Source organism: Homo sapiens, chromosome 1 (genome assembly GCF_000001405.40).
Source record: "Homo sapiens chromosome 1, GRCh38.p14 Primary Assembly".
Taxonomy (NCBI): Eukaryota; Metazoa; Chordata; class Mammalia; order Primates; family Hominidae; genus Homo; species Homo sapiens.
The window spans coordinates 144,050,822-144,070,524 of record NC_000001.11 but is presented as its reverse complement, the minus strand read 5'-3'; the positions used below and the strand labels follow the sequence as shown (position 1 = coordinate 144,070,524).

The window sequence follows — 19,703 nt, the reverse complement described above, 5'->3', positions numbered from 1 at the left end:
GCTTTTACTAAAGGTCAATTTAGAATACAAATGTTACAGAATTCATTTAGAGCCAAAAAGTAATTCTGACAAAGACTGTCTTAAAATGCAAGATTTTTAGGTCCAAAATTTCTTACGTAACCTAAAAAATGGAAATCTTCACAATGTAATGAGATTGGGTCATTTAAATAGTGTTATATCTAACCAGTCCAGACAGACCAGCTAAACAATCCTATTATTAAAAGCCTCTAGAGAGTGTTCAACAAACTCCTTAGATAATGAAGCTTGGGGCAGCAACACATCCCTCATTATAGTCAGAAAGTTCTCTTAACATGTGAGCCAGGTTATTGCGTGCATTTATGTTTTCCCACATGCTGCTCTTTCCTCAAGGAATGCGATTCTCCTCCCCGACTCCCTGCCTGGTTCGCTCATTCTTCAAGATCAAACACAAAAGTCACTGTGTGTGTGATGCTTCTCCAATTCCACTCATCCTGGCTGCCATTCATGCACTAGTGCATGTATGCATTTTTACATTTTTTAAATTACAAAAATCAACCTATTATAACTGCTTAGATATATATGAAGTAAAAATGAAAGTTCTCCCTTTACATGACCCATCCCCCATCATTTCCCTCTTTATCTTATACTGTCAGCATTCCCAGCTTGTAGCACAGTGTCTGGCAATAGTAAATCCTCAAAAAATGATCAATGAATAATTTAATAATGATTAATAAATAAATTAATGATGATGGTGAAGATAAATTTTTAGCATTTATTGAACGCTAACTACAAACCAGGGAGTGTGTTAAATATTTTATAAAAATCAATGAATGAGCTAAAATGCCATTCTATTATTTTTTTGTATAGGTTTTAATATTTTACTCATAAATATGCTTAAAGAATATTATAATTATATGACTTAGATTGTAAAACAATATGTACAGCAGTATCCTATTTTTTAGAATAAAATTATAAATATGTGCTCACATATGTGTTTGTGCATGCATAGAAAACAGATTAGAAAGGAATATATTCTAACACCATTATCTCTAGCTGGTAGAATTATGGAAAATTTTTATTTCCTTCTTTTTGCTTCTAAATTTTATATAATGAGCATATTTGGCTTTGTATAATCATTTTTAAAAAGTTGTTTTAGAAGAATAGTACTGATATATCATTCCCTTTTAGCAGTTTTCTCTAGGATAAAAAATAAGAGGAAGTCTGAGCTTAACTAATTAAAAAAACAGATTTCTTTAAAAAATATTAGCAAATCATTAGTGTTCTTACTGGAGAAAGGGCAGTGTTCAAAGAAGAATTAAACAAATCATTCCAGTTGCAGGAAAAATTCAATTTACTGCATGCAGACTGTTTCTTGACTGAAAAGTTAATTCCTTTCATTCAGAATCAGTATGCATATTCACTGGCTATATTTCATCTCACATCTGCAAACTTAATTTTTCCTTTCTTGGTCATCAGAAGATTAGGAAATAAATTTTAGTCCAGGCAATAGATCCTACTTGGCAAGCTCAAAATAACTCAATTATTAAAAAGCAGCACACAAAGACCAGTAGTGACTTCCAAAGGATTGTTAACAATACTTAAAAAAAAAAAAAAAAAAAAAAAAAAAAGAAAAAGAAAAAAGGGTCCAACTGTCTAAAAGAAGACTAGAGATACATGAATAAGAAAATACGATGTTTTGGAATTATGTGCAAAATAGTAATGCTGCATATTACCCATCCTTTAAGTTTTAGCAATAATTAGAAAAAATAGTTTCCCAACAATAAAAGTTATAAAATAATGTCATCATATCACCTAGAAGAGATTATAGATTTTTATAAACAAAATATGTGTTATTATGAATATTTGTATGTACTCTCCAAGAACTAAAAGATGAAGTTCCCCTTTCAGGATCCCCTGTGCCTGAGAAGGAAACTTTCCAGTGAAAGCCTACTAGCTAGTTAAAAATTTCTTAAAAAAGAAAATCTTCTTAGTTGTATACTTGGGAGCATCCTTTCTCTTGGGCGGATCCCTGTTAGACATATACAACTTTTAATGTTTGCACCTTTAACTGTAGGGATGGTCTCTGAGTATGCCCACATTCGTATCTAAGATATTCAACGCCTGTCCTTCAGACACTTAACAAGGACTCTGAGTTCCAAATCTCCCTTGAGTGCTGCAGTGCATGCTGACGCTCTTTAAAAGCCATAGCACTCCCTTACTGTGAAATAAAACTGCTCTGTCTCTTGCTGGTTGGCTCTCCTCTTAGCAATGCTGGGCTTGCTCATGAAGGTTTCAGAGACCGTGGACTTGACGGACTCCATGGAGTTGCTGTACTGGAAGCAGTCAGACACATCGAAGTCCTCGACAGTCACAATGTCCTGGATGGTTTGCAGGGTGGCCTCCATTGTCTTCTTTACCTGCCACGACAAGGGCCAACAGGATGCATGAAGGGTGGGTTGTTAAACAGCAGGTGATGGAGAAGCTTGAAGAGAGTGGGCTGGGGAAGGCCACAGGATGCCATCAGAGTGTGCAGCTCTGCTTCCCACTGGACAGTGCTAAGTGAGAGGTAAACATCACATGGACTCTGCTACAGCATGCTACTCTCTACAATGAAAACCTAAAAGCCACTACAACCCTTCATGCTATGTACTTGACCCAGATCTTTTAATGTTTACTTTTAAAATTTAATATTAGCATTATTATAATATTATATAACAATATTATAATAGAAGTTTTAAGGGAAAGAGAATAAAATAAATCTAAACCAACCCCCTCATACAAACAGCTAATTAAAATGTGTGATGGGCCTAGTACTGCAAAGCCCCAGGTTCTGTTTCATGACCTTCAACAAACTGATGAACTTGTTTGCTCATTTGCAAACTAAGTGACCTATCCCTACTTCTTCCTGATCTTCCTGCAGAAAGTAAGACTTACTGAGACACAAGGTAAGAAGCCATCTGAGCTCAACAGAAAGCTGGATCACCCGCCCTTTTGAACCGCTTTTTGAAAGCAAATACACTGAGCCCAGAAGAAACTCACCCTTTCCTAAGAGGATGGAGATGTTTGAAGTGTCAAAGTCAAAGGCCTCTGTTTGTTTGAACATGCTGGAAAAAGCTAGGCATGAGGAGGTGGTTTCAGAGACACAATATTGTTCACACAGCTGCCAAGTGCCATTTTGATTAAATGTGTAGAGGGGAAAAAAAGCATTTCGCAAAAGCTCAAAATAGAGCACAACCTTTGGCAATGCAAGAGCAACTTCCTGGAGTTCAAGGGCAGGATGTAGCAGAGGGGGAAAGTCCAAGCCTACATTTGGCTAGGAAATGTTTGCGGCCGCCCGGACATTCTCTGCATGCTCCTTCCACCTGCTCCCAGACGGGCAGCAGCAAAAGTTTCAACAGGGAAACTAAGAGTGTGGCTTTGAGCCTCCTAAGGAAGAAACTCACCTCTTCGTTTTCAATCTTTAGAGTGGATAAGCGAGACTGCAGTTGTTGGCATCTCTGTAGCAGCTCACTCTGGACAGGCTGCTGGGCACAGAGCTGGGAAGCCTAACAAAAGAAAGCAACACCAGGTCAGAAAGAGGATACAGTCCCTTTGGCAGTTCCAGAGTTCCCATTACTGGCAATGAAACTACCCATATTCAAGGTATAAGGCTCGTGGTTTCTATGTTGAAGCAAAACCCAAAGCCAACTTGTGTGAGCCTCTTCCAGGACCAAACAGTACATGAAAGGAATGGGTAGGGGGATCTGTTTGGAGCCCGGCAGGGGTAGGTCTAGGTAGGGTCTGCAGCTCCATGGAAGGCTGAGGAGGCTGGAGAAGAGTGCCTCAGGCAGCTCCGGCTCCAGAAACACAATGCTTTGGCACAGTGAAGATTTCCTGCCAAAGGTCCAAGTGGCCACCTCTCTGGCCCCTCCCTCATCCCCCTTCATACACCAGAGTGAAAGCAGGAGAGAAGTGGGTCAGGAGGCTAACTTGCCACTGCTGGCAGCCAGCATGTGTTTACAAATCCAGGCCATGCACGAGAGCTTTGATTCAATGAGAAAGCGTGAAGCCAGGAACAAGTTCGTTGCCTATGCTAGAGGGCCCGAGAGGGTATGGAATCTGAAGGAGCTTGGCATTTTCCAAAGAGCCATCATTTTACCAGGCCTTCCCTAGATCTGTAAGAGAGGAGTCTGACCTTCCCGCAAGGATTATTGCCAATTAGCTTTCCCCTGTGTGAAGGAATGGCTGTTCCACTGTCTCCCATTGGAGATGTGGTTATGGGATGAGGTCATCCACAGTCCCCTGGATGACAGATGAGGAGCAGAAGGCTGAGAGAGTTGGGAGGCAGGACCCATGTGGAGACAGCTCCTGTCACCTTGTTACCGTTCGTCCTTTAGCCTCTTGCCTGCAGAGAGACATCTGGATAGAAATGGCCTCCTTCCTCCTCAGCAAAGAGTGGGCACATTCACATGCCCACGGACCATTCCCTTGCTTGAAAAGAAAAAACCTTTCTTCAAATGGAGGGGGCTGGGACTTGACCTTTTCCTCCATTGGCTTTTAAGCTCCCAACTGACTTGACCTCTTCCCCCAGCTGAGAGGCTGGCCTGAGCCAACTCTCAGATCCACAGAGAGCTGACTTCACTCTAACTCTTGGATAAGCAGACACAATGGAGAAAGCTCAGTGGCCAGAACCGGTTAGCGCCAAGAGTGAAATTCTCTGGCTGCCTGATGTCACCAGTCAGGCATCCAGAGTCCCACAGCCTCTGAGGGCACCAAAAATGGAGCCAAGCACCTCCTCCTAGTACATCTGAGAGCACTTGGCATCAATTCATGTGCTGTGCACCCCAGAACACCAGTTAGTGTGGGACCTTGGCCAATTTTAAGGCTTCCGGTCAAAATGCTACCCAATCTTTGGCCCTAGTTCAACGACTTCCAGGCAGCTCCCTCCTGTTGCCTCCACAATCTGCAGACAACCCACACTGATGGGGATAGACTGGCTGCAGAGGCCAAGAATGACCCACCCTCTCATCTCTTTTTATTTTCACTCATATGAAGGCTAGGCTAGAATGCGGAACCTTCACAAGCTCCAGGACTGGTCCTGGCCCCTGCCTGGCTCAGCCACTGATCAGCTATATTACATAAAGGGAGGGCCCTGGCAGAAGAGTGAGCTATTGATTTTTAAAGTAACCCAGACCTAGCAGAGAGGAATCATGGAGGGAAAAACCACCTCCAAGCCTGTTCCTTTAAGAAGTAGCAGAGCTGATGATGATGCATGCTTTGGCAGTGGTCCGCTACCAGGGTGCAAGGTAATACACTTCAGCTGCACTCCGGAGTATGGAAATAAGGCTCTGACAGGGGGAGGAGGGGGCTTGAGCACCCAGCATCTGGATTCCTCCTTTATGGAGACAAGCTGTTTGGCTCAGAAGGCAACTCAGTCACTAACACCAGAAAATGTATCACTCCACTCAGCTGGTCCCCAAGTTCCACTGATCCCTGGGAAGGAACCTCAGTGACAGCTGGAGAAGGTGCTTGGAAGGCAAGTTTGACCAGAAGCCAGGGCAGGTGAGGAATGGGGCTTCCTGAGGCTTGGTGACACCCCTTCCCCCAATTCTAATTGCACATGCTGCCATCTCACTTCTCCATCTGTTCAGACACTGACATTTCCTAAGCCACAGCAATGGAAATGAACTGTAAATGGTTTGATTTTCCCCAAGAAGGAAAGGAAGGAAACCAACTCCACATTTCTATCTCCAGGACAGCGTCTCACTCTCCATAGAGGCCAACTGATGACAGCAAATCCTCTGGTTCCACTGCCACAGCTGTCATTCTGGAGTGGGGATTTCTAGAGTCTGGATGCTAATCTTAAGGGAAGCATCATTCCTGAGGAGCACACATGTTGCTGTTTTTTGGTCCCCGGCGTCCACTCCTCCTTTTTTTGGTAGCTTTGGTCTAACTGCCCTCGGTGAGGGGAACCTCCCACTCCACAACTCAGGCCACGTGCTTTGCATGGACCCAGGCATAAGCACTTTACCCAATCAAAACCAATGAGACACACAAACTTTATGGGGGCTTTGAGGAGGGAGGCAGAGACTCTTTCCACTAGATTTCAACCTACCAGGGAAGGCTGGAAATGCAGTCACCTTGCCTCCATGGGAGAATGGCCTGTCTGAGAATGGAGTTAACACACAGGAAGTAGTACAGAGACAGCAAAACAGTGTCTTGGTAAAATTCCTCCTCCTAAAGCCAACTATACCCAAAGGTCCATCTTGATCTTTTCTATCGCATAAGCCCTATACAACCTCCTTCTAATTTCACCAGTAGGAGAAATGGTGGCTCTTATCCACAGGAATGAGGTTCACTCTGACTTGTACACACAACCACACAAGTGGAACCAAAAGATTCAGAACAATGAAAACCCAGGAGCTTCTCCTGCCTCTCACTTTAGCTTTTTTAGGCCCTTTTTATTCTAGTCACTGGAGGCTAAGAGTCCAAAACAAGGCCCCCATGTTCATGCTCCCCTGTCTGGACAACCAGCATCAGGCCTTTGGGATAGCATCTTAGCTCCTTTCCTTCCTGCAGGTACCCATTCTTTTTTATTCAATACCCAAACAAAACTATACACTTCATCACAGTCTTCTAACTTCAGGAGAATAAGATTATTCAGAACTCTGCCAAATGCCAAAAGATCACAGCATTCCCTGCCTAGCCCTCGCTTCCCCACTAAAGCCTCTAGGATGTGGCCCCACCTCAGCTCTCATTTCTTCTAGCCTCACCACTGGGAGCGCCCCCCTCCCTCACTTTCCTTTCACCATCCTGAACTGTTGGTAGTTTTTAGAATATACCTGCTGTTTTTCACCTTCTTTGATCCTGCTGGGCCCCTTTGGATACCCCTCTCTATGCATAGTTCGAACCCTCCTCAAGCCTTAGCGACCTTATTCCCCAGACTGTAAGCTCCCCGAGGGCTTTAATCCCCCATGTCTGCACCCAAGCCCGAGTGTCTGACAGCAGGCACTCACTAACTGTTTGCTCAATAAGGGGAATGTGCCTCACCCACCTGACAAAAAGCCGGGCCCAGGCCTCTCCCACCCCAGAATAATGTGCCTTCTGTGTAATTAATCTAGACAAGTCCACTCAAGCCCCTTGAGGGTGGGGGTATAGGGAAAGGGCCTCACCATATCCCCCATGTGGGGCTGAAACTCAAACTTCATAGGGGGGCAGAAGACGTTGTTGTACATCTCCATGAGGCGCTGCTTGTCACTGGTGGCATCCAGGTTTTCTACTGCATTCTCGATGGCATCCAGACCCTCATGCTTCGACTGTTCCAGGTTTAACTCAGCAGAGAGGAAGGTGCGTAGAGCCCGGTTCAGACTTGCATGGTAGCCTAAGTCACAACACTGCTGTGGGAAGGAGAAGGCACATGAGCACACCATGGACAGCCCCAAGGCTTGGCAGAAAAGGAAGGTGGTCCAGAGGGCAGATCTGACCACATCAATAGGCTTGGCTGTGCAGTAGAAAGACGGCTGACATTCCGACTTCCAAGGTCTGGGTGAGAGTTCTCAGTTCTTGACTCCCAATTCAACGGTTAAACACACCCTACAGGGCTGTGAGGTGGTTAGGAGGAAGAAGACTCATAAGGATAAAATGACATTATTTAATTAAGCGCTATTTCATAAACATGAGAAGAATTGAGAGTTAAAGAGAATCCTCTTTCGTTTTCAGGTTTATCTGGTGTTGTCATTATAACAAAATTCAACAATAAAAATACAACCTGCCACTCACTGAGGGTTACTGTGGTTAAATCACTATATAGCAACCAAGCCAGGCCATTTCAGGGTTCTGAAAGCAGGAGTATTGCAACAGCAGCTAATGTATGCAAGCTCAACTCTAGATGGGAGAAGGAGAGAATGGGGAGCTGACTCTGTGGGTCATCATCCCCACCAATGCCCAACATCCTAGGACAGGCCTTAGCTGCAGACTAGGGTTTCTGACATGCCTCCTCCTTCCTGGCATCTGACAACAGATGCCCCTGCACTACAGAAATAGCATTTATAAGACTAAAAAGCTCTACGCAAAAGTGTTACTGGAAAAATTCATGCCATGTAAAGGATTCTGATTTTTTACAACAAAATGCAAAAAGAGGCAACTGTATAAAAAAAGCACTGGCGCAGAATCAAGCAACCTTGGAAAAGCCACTCCCCTTCTCTGGACCTGTTTCTTCCATAGTAAAATGAACAGATTTGGCCAGGCTAGTGGCTTTCAAGCAGTAGACCAGAGCTGGCACTGAAGCTGCCCTTGAGAAGTGAGTAAAAGGACAACCCAACTACTAGGACTTGGAGTCTTCTATTCCTCCTTCAACCAAGCCAACCCTGCTCTTTTTTCTATTTAATATTTAGGGATTCTATGTAAGGTTTGGTTTGAAGAAAGAATTCTTCTGTTAGAGAAAAGTCTGAAAATCCTTGGACTAAATGTAATCCCTAAGGCCCTCTTCAGCAATGGCATTCTGTAACTCTGTGATAATATTCCCCATCCCTCCCAAAAGACCCAGAGATCCCAATTCCTTGGCCATCCATCATTCTCTCTATTGCTTAAGCAGCTCTGAGGTCCGGGTCCTGAGAAGAAACCTCAAAGAAGAATCTATGCATAGAGTAAGGCCATCTGCCTGATTGCCATTTCATTGCACAAGCAAGCATCAAATTAACTCTCCCCACAGCCTTTTCCTCTCATCATGATCACACTGGAAGCAGCTACTATTGGGGAAGAAAAGGAATATGATGTGCCTCCTCTTTCCTGGCATCTGACAAGAAGCTCAGTGAGAACATCAGTTGGGTTGGGCTCTGGGTTCAGTGCCAACAGGCCCTGGCAGCTGCCTGGCTGCAGTGGAATAACAGCAGTTACAACTTAACTAGAGGCAGAGGATGGAAAGACATTAAATTCAGTTGGGAGGGAAGAGCAAATGGAAGCTAGACAAAAGCGGCTCATTAGGACGCTGCACGGGCATGGGCTCTCTGGGAGATGCTGCTGGTCTCACCAGGCTGCCCTTGAACCTGTAAACCTTCCTGACTAGCTCTATGTAGACCCTGTTGATGAGCTCTATGCCTATAAGTCTAATGAACAGAAGTAACACGGCCCACAGAGTGTATGAGTGTGGGTGGAGGGGGTGTGGGCAGGGGGTAGAATCTGGGAGAGAAAAGTTACCCTTCAAAAAACTTTTACCTGTTTTTAGTAATTTCCCTTTCCTCTCCATTCTTACTACCTCTACCCCTATTCATACCCTCACCGTCAGCTTCACTGTCCTAAACTGTGACTTTAATTATGGCACTTTCCTGTTGAAGAACCTAAAATACCTCTCATTTTTTTTCCCCAAGGTAAAATCCACCTTCCTCAGTTTTGAAATTTAAAAAATGCTTCTATTTCACTAAGTATGCTTACTATACGTCAGTCCATGTGCTAAGTGCTTTATATACATTCTACATTTTAATCCTCATAATAACCCCAATGAGGTTGGTATAATCTTAATTTTCCAGGCTTGAAAGCTGAGGTTCAGTGAAGTTAAATAATTTGAGCAAGGTTCAATAGCCAGAACAAACTGTAATCTGTCTTCAATCTACCCATCCAACATCAACTCCCTTTATTTTCTTCTTCAGATTCATCTGCTCTAATCCAATGAGATACTCTCTGTTTAGGGTAGAGTATTAGTCTTCAAATCAGCTATTATGGCCATAAGCAAGCTACTTAATCCCTCTGGGCCTCAAATGAGGATAACACCAGCCACACAGGTTGTTGTAGGCTAACAGGCAATATATTTACAGATATTTGGTACCATGTAGACACTTTAAAAAAATACTAATATAGCTCCAAATCCACTGACCTCTGCCCTTCAGCTCCCAGAATGTCCTTTTCCTTAAATGTTTCCTATGCCTCTCACCTGTTGGAATTGGACCAGATCTTCAAGATCCAAATTAAATTCTTAGCCTCTGGGAAGCCAGCCAACCCTGCAATCCTAGACTCCAGTGACCCTGGCCTCTACTTAGAACCACACTAATCTGCAGCTTTCATATGACAAGGAATACGCTTCTTCATTCTATGATTTGCCATGTCATATCACCCCAACCAGACTAGCTTCTCACTCTTCTTTACATCCCTCAGCATTAGGCCTTGCTCACAGCAGGCATTTAATAAATTTCAGTTGACTGATTGATACCACAAATACAGATTCCAGCCTCTCAGGAAATAAAACATTTAGGCTGAATACTGACCTAAGTCAAGTGGGTAGATGGGGCCAGTGAAGCCATTTGTTTTGCTTACTCTATGGCCAAAGGGAGGCTGGGAGTTTTCCCAGGCTGGCGCACTGCCTCTGTTTATATAACTATTCTGTAGCTTCTTTGTGCCAATGAGTGAGGGTCTGAGTCACAATGTGCCCCTGGCTCCTCTACACCTCTAGCCAACCAGGCAGATTCGGAAGAGGTTCTCCAGAGTCTTGACTATCTATATACCTGTAGGGGAAACAGCCAGAAACCGAGCCTTCAGCGAAGAAGCAATATCTGGCAAGGTTGGGTAAATGAGATTTGAATATTTCATCCTGTTCCAAGAAGAATCCCAATAAGTACAGGAAGCACATTATTTTGCTCACAGTGGGGACAAAGCAGGCTTTCCATGGCTTCTGATGAGTTCTGTGGCCACGCTGGACTCCCCTGGCCATTTCTGGGTTATATAAATGTTTGATGAAAAATCTCTCAGGGGAAATCAAATTTTCGTAAGAAGTTAATGACAGCCCATCCAGATGTATGATGACTTGAGTTGATAGCTCATTAACCCTTTCCCAGCTGATATCTTCACCCAGAGACTCCACAAGGCCTGGAAAGGAAAAATGGGTGTTTCACAACACCCACTTCAAGTTCACACAAAAGAGAAAAATAACTGCCCTTAATGACATTTCTTACTGAAACAGCCAAGTTCCCTCATGTCCGACTTGGGTGCACATGGTGTCACAGACCTTCCATACATGTACACGGCACTTACAACACTCCAGCTATGCATGAGGACAATGCCCTGTTCTTCATTCATCCATCTGCTCCTGGGTTGAGAGAGCCAGAAGAGTATGGGGGAGGAAAATTATATTCCAGTGAGCCTACCGTTCTTAGATGCCATCAAATGAGCTCAGAACGTCTTTTTGGCCTGAAGTCAAGGTTTCCCCAGTGTGGCAGATGCCTCACGTGGATTCCTACAGTCTGAAGTTTAAATCTTGCACTATACTATAAAAAGAAGTCGGAGGCTAGTCCTTGGTCAATGTAATGGCATCAACAAAAATAACTTCTTTTCACTTATCCTCAATGCCTTATGCACACATTTGGCTTCAGAACCACTAGGAAGGAGGCAGAAGGCTGTACATGACACAGATGGCAATGGACTGCAACAGGATTCATCCCATGTCTTAAAGCAAGTAATGAATAATGTTAAGATCAGGATGCCAATATCCCAGGCTCCTCACTTAGTCCTGCTCTAACTGCATCCTTTTGGCCCTTTTTATCTCATAGGTCAGCAAGAAAAAGAAAGACACTACCGATACATGCAAACAACATGGATGAAATTCAAAAACATCATGTTGGCAAAAGATGCCAGACACAAAAAAGGATAATCCCATCTTTGTGAAGTTCTACAACGGGCAAAACTAATTTATGGTGAAAGAAATCATAACAGTGGTTGCCTTGGGGTGGGGGATTGGCTGGGAAGAGACAAGAGAAACTTTCTGAGGCAATGGAAAGATATCTCTTATCAAAATATTTATTCTATATCTTGACATAGATTACAAAGATGTACAAATTTGTCAAAACTCTTGAAACTGTAACACTTAAGTTTAGTTACTGTATGTAAATTATACTTCAAAACCATATTGAAAGGTACAAAAAGAAAAACCGATCTTAGCTTAGATGATCATCTTCCTCCTCTTTCTATTCCTTTCTTCCTTCAGTAAACACACTATGTGCTCAGCTATATATTAAGCACTGGAGGCTACTAAGGTAAAGAAAACTCTTGGTTCCTGCTCTCACAGAACTTAACAGATGAGACTGAGATCTTCCTCTGTTCATAGTACAATGGCTCACAAACACTTTTTTGACTCCCAACTCACAATAAGAAACACATCTTCTATTGTCACACACTCCCCCATAGGATGTACAAGTGTGTACATACATATCTAACATAAAAGTTTCACATAATCTTACCAATGTGATGTACTCTAATATTTTCTTTCTTATTCTAGTCTCATCTAGTCATCTGAAAACACAGGTTAAACCAATAAAAGTGATTTCCTGACTTTCTTAAGGGATCTGACCAATGGTTTGAAAAATGTTGTCTTACAGCCTATGACTACCTCTAGGGTGAGAACTACTATAATCCATTTTTACCCCAATACTGAGCACGTGGCTTCTCCCTAAATAAATATTTACTGAACATTTATAGAGCAGAATAATACAACTTTAAAAAAAATAATGAATGTGTCCATATCCCAGGAAAAACAACAAAAACCCAACCAACCAACAAACTAAAACAAGACACAACCAAAACAGCAGCAAAGAAACGAGGCTGAGGCAGGCGGATCACGAGGTCAGGAGATCGAGACCATCCTGGCTAACACAGTGAAAACCCGTCTCTACTAAAAAAATACAAAAAATTAGCTGGGCGTGGTGGCGGGTGCCTGTAGTCCCAGCTACTCGGGAGGCTGAGGCAGGAGAATGGCGTGAACCTGGGAGGCAGAGCTTGCAGTGAGCCGAGATCGCACCACCGTACTCCAGCCTGGGTGACAGAGAGAGACTCCTTCTCAAAAAAAAAAAAAAAAAAGAAACATGAGAAACTTTATTACTACCTATGTAGCCTTTTGATCCCAGTGATCTAGACCCACACCCTGCCAAGTACTAAGGCAGCCTCTTTTTCAATGGCATGTCACACCACATCCTGTGAAATTAGGCTCTTAGCAGACGTTTTTTTTTTTTAAATGATGAAAATAAGGTACAAAATACCTCGCTTCTTGGACTGATTTTAAAACGCTTGGTTATACCTGATGGAGAATCTATGGATTGCAAAGGTTGTGGCTGATACAGCAGTAACCCCTCCCTTCCCCTGAGATCAGTATTTTGGTGAAAAAGGTAGGGAAGTTGCCTTGAGTACAAAAAAAGAGAAGAGGGCTAACCAATAGCAGCGGTGTGGCAGACAGCACAGTCTGAATTTTTACCAAATGCGAGATAAATAGCAGAAATTGTGCATAAGAAAGAATGGATTCTCTTCCTTATGCTGAGAACAGGCCTCTCTCCCAACAATGAGGAGCTCTTCCCCTGAGGAGGAGAAAGGATCTTGTTTAGGGCTTTGACCTCCATTGAAGGACAGTGTTCAGATTGTCATCAACAAGCAGAGAGAACAAAGAGGTACCAGAACAGGGAGCAAGGCTCTACTAACCCAGTGAGACAATGACACCTAGGGCATTAAGTGGCTGAAATCTACTGAATCAAAAATCCTCGGCTAAAGGGAGACAGGAATCTGTATTTTAGAGAAGTTCCCCAAGCAACTCTTACGTGAGGCCAAATTTTAATACCAGGGAATTAGTCCAGTTCTTCAGTTAGCTAGAGGAGCTTGGGAGTGGGTGAGAAACAAAGCTGGGTTCCAGAACAATTCAGTGACAAGCCTAGATGACCCAGGTGGTGATATAACAGCAAGACTCGGACCCAAATCCCATATGATGTTGTGAGGTGTGGCAGGTTTGCTTGTGGAGAAACCAAGGCAGGAAAGCAAGAGTGGTCGGGCCAGAGTTTTGCAAAGCCCAACTGCTGCCAACAAGACCCTGAAACAAATGGCAGGCCTCCAAGATGAGATACACTTGAAGCCCCAGAGACTGGAATGCTAAATTGGCTGGCTCCAGATGCCTCACTTTGATGACTGGAAGGAGAGGTGAGAAAGGGTGTAATTACATAGCTTCACTTAGGTGTGGCTCAGGACCTGGGCCAGATTGGAGTCTGTAGGTGAGAGGGCTTGTAAGACCCAACTGTAAGGGGAAGCAGCAGGAAAAACAAGGCCAAGAATAACTCACAGGCAAAAAACAAAAAGCTTATCCCTGCGCTTGCCCCTTGCAAAACACATGTGCCTATTAACCGCTTTCCTCAATCCCCTTTGCATCACATATTTTTAAAAATGGGCCAGATGTCAGGGGGAGCTGGATACCTTCCTGACAGGACCCTAATTTGCAGCATAACCTTGGACAAGTGAGTCTCCTAGTCCTCTGGACCTTGAGCTTCCTTATCTAGCAACTGGAGACAGCAATGCTTACCCATAATGGTGATGTGAGAGTCAAATGAGTTAACACCGAGAAACCTTAAATGCTATACAAATATAAGGGATGGCATTGTAACTCTTTAGTTAAGTTCTTGCCACTCACTTCTGTGCAAGAGAAGCTGATGTAATAAAGTATTTCCTAGGTCGGGTGCAGTGGCTCACACCTGTAATCCTAGCACTTTGGGAAGTCGAGGCAGGTGGATCACCTGAGGTCAGGTCACCTGAGGTGAGGAGTTCCAGATCAGCTTCACTAACATGGTGAAACCCCATCTCTACTAAAAATACAAAAATTAGCTGGGCATGGTGATGCATGCCTGTAGTCCCAGTTACTGGGGAGGCTGAGGTAGGACAATTGCTTGAACCTGGGAGATGGAGGTTGCAGTGAGCCAAGATTGCACCACTGCACTCCAGCCTGGGGGACAAAGCAAGACTCTATCTCAAAAAAAAAAAAAAAAAAAAAAGGAAGAAAGTATTTCCTGGCAGATAGACTAGTGTAGTGGTTATGAGCCTGGGTTGAGTCATCAGGCCTAGGTGCAAATTTTGCCTCTGTCATTTGTTAACTGACTCTGACTAAGTCATCTAAACTCTCTGTTAATCTGTAAAAATATAGATAATAATGCCTTCCTCCCAGAATTCCAGTTAGGATTGAATAAGTGTGAAGTGTTTCACTTGGTGCTTGGCAAGCACCCTGATGGATCATGGCTGCTATCTTCCTAATTGTTCTCAAAATGCACCAGATTCCTGAACAATAGTATCGGGGAATGTCTGACGAGTATTCTGAAACCAGAAAAGAGGTGCCCTCAGGCCCTTGGCTTTAAGCACTTACATCAATAAGGTCAGATAGGTCATGGATGTAGTACTTGAAGACAGATGCATTGGTTGCCTCCAAAGCCAGCAAGTACTCATTCCGGGCTTTGATGGCCTTCAGCTTATTCTCCGTGTACTTGGCTTGGTGCTGAAAAGGAAACAGAAGTTCACTTTTACCTTTTTTTTTTAAGGGGGGCTTGTTCTCTAAAAGATAAAAGTACAGTGTATTCAAGAACTACAATTGTGTTGCTACTCCCTATGCGCATCTGCCTTAAATTGGGTTCTAATTCTGTTTAATGAGATTCAAGGGCACAATGTAGATCAATTCAGGAAAGGTTAATGAGGCTCCCTACTTAAGATGCGTGCCCCACTTTGATTCTATCTTCAAATATCATTCTTCATTCTTGCAATGCCACTCTGAAGGAGGTACCACTACTCTTGCCCCTGAACACCTGATACCTGAAACCAAATCCTGGGTTTACAGTCACCCCCAACCCCTCCAAAGCAATAGGATATTGAGCTCTATTTGGAAAATGGATTGGGAAAGGTGACTGCTGTTTCTTGGTTTTCTGCTAGAGGCTAGAAACTTGGATCCCACGTGCCCAGTTCTTCCAATACCTAGTATTCCTGCCAGGGCACAGAGCAAGGCCTCATTTTCAGTCATTAGGCACTAAAAGAACCCAGAGCTTCCTCGTCTGCTCTTCCCAGTGACTATTGGGAAATTCCTATCAGCCATGCCTTACCGAATGTTGCTTCCCAGCATCTACAGCTGTGGGAGCCTACATACCTTCTCCTTCATCTTCTCAATCTTCTTCACTGAGCTCCTCCGGACATGTTTCTCCTCAATGCGAACGTTGGCCGTGGAGTCAGGGGAGCGTGGGGTCTGCCGGTCCTCCTGCTTTACCGATTTACCAATTTGCTTCTCCTCCTGCTTCTCCGCCTCCTTTAGTTTGCTCTGAGCACTGATGCTGTCGGCATTGTACATGTGATATGTCTTCATGACCTGCAAGACATCGCCCACCCCCACCCCCAGAGGTCAAGCCAAGGGGGTCATTTCTCTGCTTTACAGACTACCAGACTCAGCTGGAGCTCTCCCCCATGAAGCAATATCCTCACACCCCTAAGGGAAAAATCCAGAAGTGTTTGGTTCAGCAAACACAGATTAAAGACCACTCCAAAGCACAGGAAAGCAATATGTGAACTGAGCCAACATTTCCTCTTATTGAAATAACTTAATGTCTATCCATCATGTATTATTTATTTCTATTCATTATCATTTGTAATCATTTCTCTTTAATATTGGCCAGGTGATTTCTATCACTTAGTCACCTCATAATACTGAGTAGATGGGAAACAACACCACCACTCTCAGGCCCCAAGGGCAAAGCCTTTCTGGGCTGGTCAGGAACCCCGAAGAGGGCAGTGCAGCCTATGGAGTAGCCTATGCTTTCTGTTACCTTTCAGATATAAAATAGGGAAGAGGAAAAGCTTCCAAAAGCTCCTTTTACCGGCCTGGCATTCTGGGGATCTGTCTGTTCTGCTTTATCCAGATCAAACACCCTCTCACAGCAACTAAAGCAGCAGCAGCAATTGCAATGCCAGTTATCATTTACTGAGCACTTAGTATATTCCTGGCTTTATGCCAAGTACCACACAACACATTTTCTCATTTCATCCTTAGGACAATTCCACAATCTAGACAACAACCCTATGAAGACTGTAAGCCTTCAAAACAATTCAGGTAAGAGTCTGGGAAGGAATAAAATCCATATCAAGTATAACTGGAATTGCCACAGGAGGGAAGTAGTATAAAAGGTGAAGGATGATTTTCCATCAAAGCAACCATCTAGGAGTCCAATCCTTTCTCTTAACAGGGAAGCCAGGAAGCCTAGAACTCAAGCTTGTTTCCAATCCTACTAAACATACTACTTCCAGCCACCTAGTGCCTGCTCTACTCTGTGGGAACTTTCTGTTTCCACACAGGGAGTTCACGAGTGCTGAAAGTGTGATGCCATAAGATTTCTTTGAGAGGGAGAATTAGAGAGTAGAAGTTGGGTGTGTGTGTGCGTGTGTGTGTGTGTGTGTGTGTGTGTGTGCATGTGTGTGTGTAACACAGGAGTGCAAAGGTACAATATTATTATTAATATCTACCACTTAATAAACATTGTGTACCATGGGCTTTACGTACATTACCTCATTTAATTCTTACAATAACTCTGTGAAAGGCACTGTTATTATTTCTATTTCTAAAGATAAGGAAATAAGGCTCAGAGAGATTAACTATCATACCCAAGGTCATACAATGAGTAAATGGTGGAATCAGGATTCAAACCCAGGTCTGTCAGACTCCAAAGACCACATTCTTAGCCATTAAGCAACACCGACTCTCCTCTGGATAGGACTGGAGCTGAACTGGTTGGGAGGAAAGGTTAAATATGGTCAAGATATTCCTGAAAAGAGAAACTGGTTCCATGTATGAACCTGAGTTAGAGAAGTGTCTCAACCTGGGGCTGTTTTGGCCCCCAGGGGAAATGTGGCAGTGTCTGGAAATATTTTTGATTGTCACAACTTGGGGATTGCTACTGGCATCTAGTAGTTAGAGGTCAGGGATGCTGCTGAACATCCCATGCACAGGACGGCCCCCACAACAACTAATTATCTGGCCCAAATGTCAATGGTGCTGACGTTGAGAAAATCTAGCTTAGAAAGACTTTGTGGGTATACTAATCTAGCACCTACGATCAGCTAGAGGCAGACGAAAGAATAAAGAATACTGGGACACTGACAAAATCAAAGTACATTAGAGTCTAAATTATGTCTCATTTTGAATGCAGAATGTTTTAAATCAGTTTCACCTCATTCTGAACCTAACACTACTTCCCGTAAATTTTACCAGGATAATACTCTTCATATTTTCTATACAGAAGAAAAAATACTTAACAACTAATGGCGTTTAAAAGCCTTTCTAAGTAATTCGAACAGACCCCCAGCTTTCCAGGTTAACTAAGAAGTGGAAAAGAGGCATCTGTTATCTCAGCTGAAGAAGTGTAGATAGGAGGCTCCTCTTTTTTTTCTCTTTTTCCACCTGAATCTGACCATGGGATTCAAAAGCTTAGTGAGAAGTTACAAAAGTGAGTGCTTTTTTTCTTTTTTAAAGTGATTTCCTATTTCATGAAGGTGCATGATAAAGAGAAAACGTTATGAATAAACATGAGATAAAAAAGAGGTCAAAGAATAGCGCTACCAAGTCAACAAATGAAGTAACAAAAATCAACAATTTACAATGTTACTTTCCCCTAAAAAACTTAAAGAACTTTCTTGTTAAAAGAGAGTAAAACGCTACTTTGCCTAAGAAACTATACATTCTTCACGCTAAGCTCTACTTCTTTTGTGTTTTCTTCTCACAGTGGAGAAATATGTCATATACACAATGGTAGTTTTACAAAGTGGTTGCCCAAATGACTGAATGACACTGAATCTCTCTTCTGGGTAAATACTGGAGAAGCTTTATTAGTGCCTTCCAGCTCAAGAGAAAACTGAGGTACCTAGAAGCTGAAGCTTAAATAAGTGATGCCAAAACAATTGAAAAAATAGGAAAGTCAAGACAGGACTTAGAAATGTATATAGATACAGATATACATGTTAAATATATATTTATAAATATATATTTATAGTCAAGATAGGACTTAGAGAAAGCCAAGATAGGACTTAGATATATAGATCTATGTACATATACATATGTAAATATATGTATATCTATATATCTATGTCTTAGACATATAGCTACTCATATATGTATATATAGATATGTATACATAAAGATATACATATACATACTTCTATCTATATATAGATAGGCAAATGCAAACTATGGGGAAAAACTGAAAAGTCTAAATTCTCAGTTCTGCAAAGAACATTCCACTTTACTTTGAAAAACTAAACACTGAAGTCACATATTTAGCTCTGCTCCCTCTGACAGCCACACTAAAATAATAGGAAAAAAAAGGTTCTAAAATGATTATCATTTAGGTATAAATTGAGAAAAACAAAAAGAATGGAAGCTGAAGCCGAAAAGCAGGTAGGCAAGCAGTAACTCATCTACTTGAGTCCTAAACCAAAACTAGAGTGAGCCAGGAAGCAGCCAGATTTATATCACAGAAGCCCGAAGAGAAATAAGTAGCAGTGGGATGAAGGTAGAGCTAAACACAAAATAAGCTATTGAAAGTCTGAGAACAGGCCGGGCATGGTGGCTCATGCCTGTAATCCCAGCACTTTGGGAGGCCCAGGTGGGCGGATCACGAGGTCAGGAGATTGAGACCATCCTGGCTAACACGATGAAACCCCGTCTCTACTAAAAATACAAAAATAAATTAACTGGGCGTGGTGGCGGGTGCCTGTAGTCCCAGCTACTCGGGAGGCTGAGGCAGGAGAATGGCATGAACCTGGGAGGTGGAGCTTGCAGTGAGCCGAGATCACGCCACTGCACTCCAGCCTGGGCAACAGAGCGAGACTCCATCTCAAAAAAAAAAAAAAAAAAAAAAAAAAAAAAAGGAAGTCTGAGAACAGTGAGGCCCCAAGATCCCCTCTCCCATTGTAGTGGAAGACTAGATGAGAGGTTT

General features: G+C 43.0%; 1 pseudogene across 1 annotated transcript in view; it reads right to left on the bottom strand.

The window, feature by feature from the left end:
* Positions 1 to 820: 820 nt before the first annotated feature.
* The window catches only part of SRGAP2D (SLIT-ROBO Rho GTPase activating protein 2D (pseudogene)), a 97,066-nt pseudogene continuing 78,183 nt past the window's right edge, over positions 821 to 19,703 (bottom strand). Inside the window, exons 4-8 of the transcript NR_120535.1 lie at positions 15,872 to 16,087; positions 15,104 to 15,232; positions 7,131 to 7,352; positions 3,423 to 3,524; positions 821 to 2,396 (exon numbers count right to left, since the gene is read on the bottom strand). The product of NR_120535.1 is annotated as an SLIT-ROBO Rho GTPase activating protein 2D (pseudogene) (transcript). The remainder of the gene's footprint in view (positions 2,397 to 3,422; positions 3,525 to 7,130; positions 7,353 to 15,103; positions 15,233 to 15,871; positions 16,088 to 19,703) is intronic.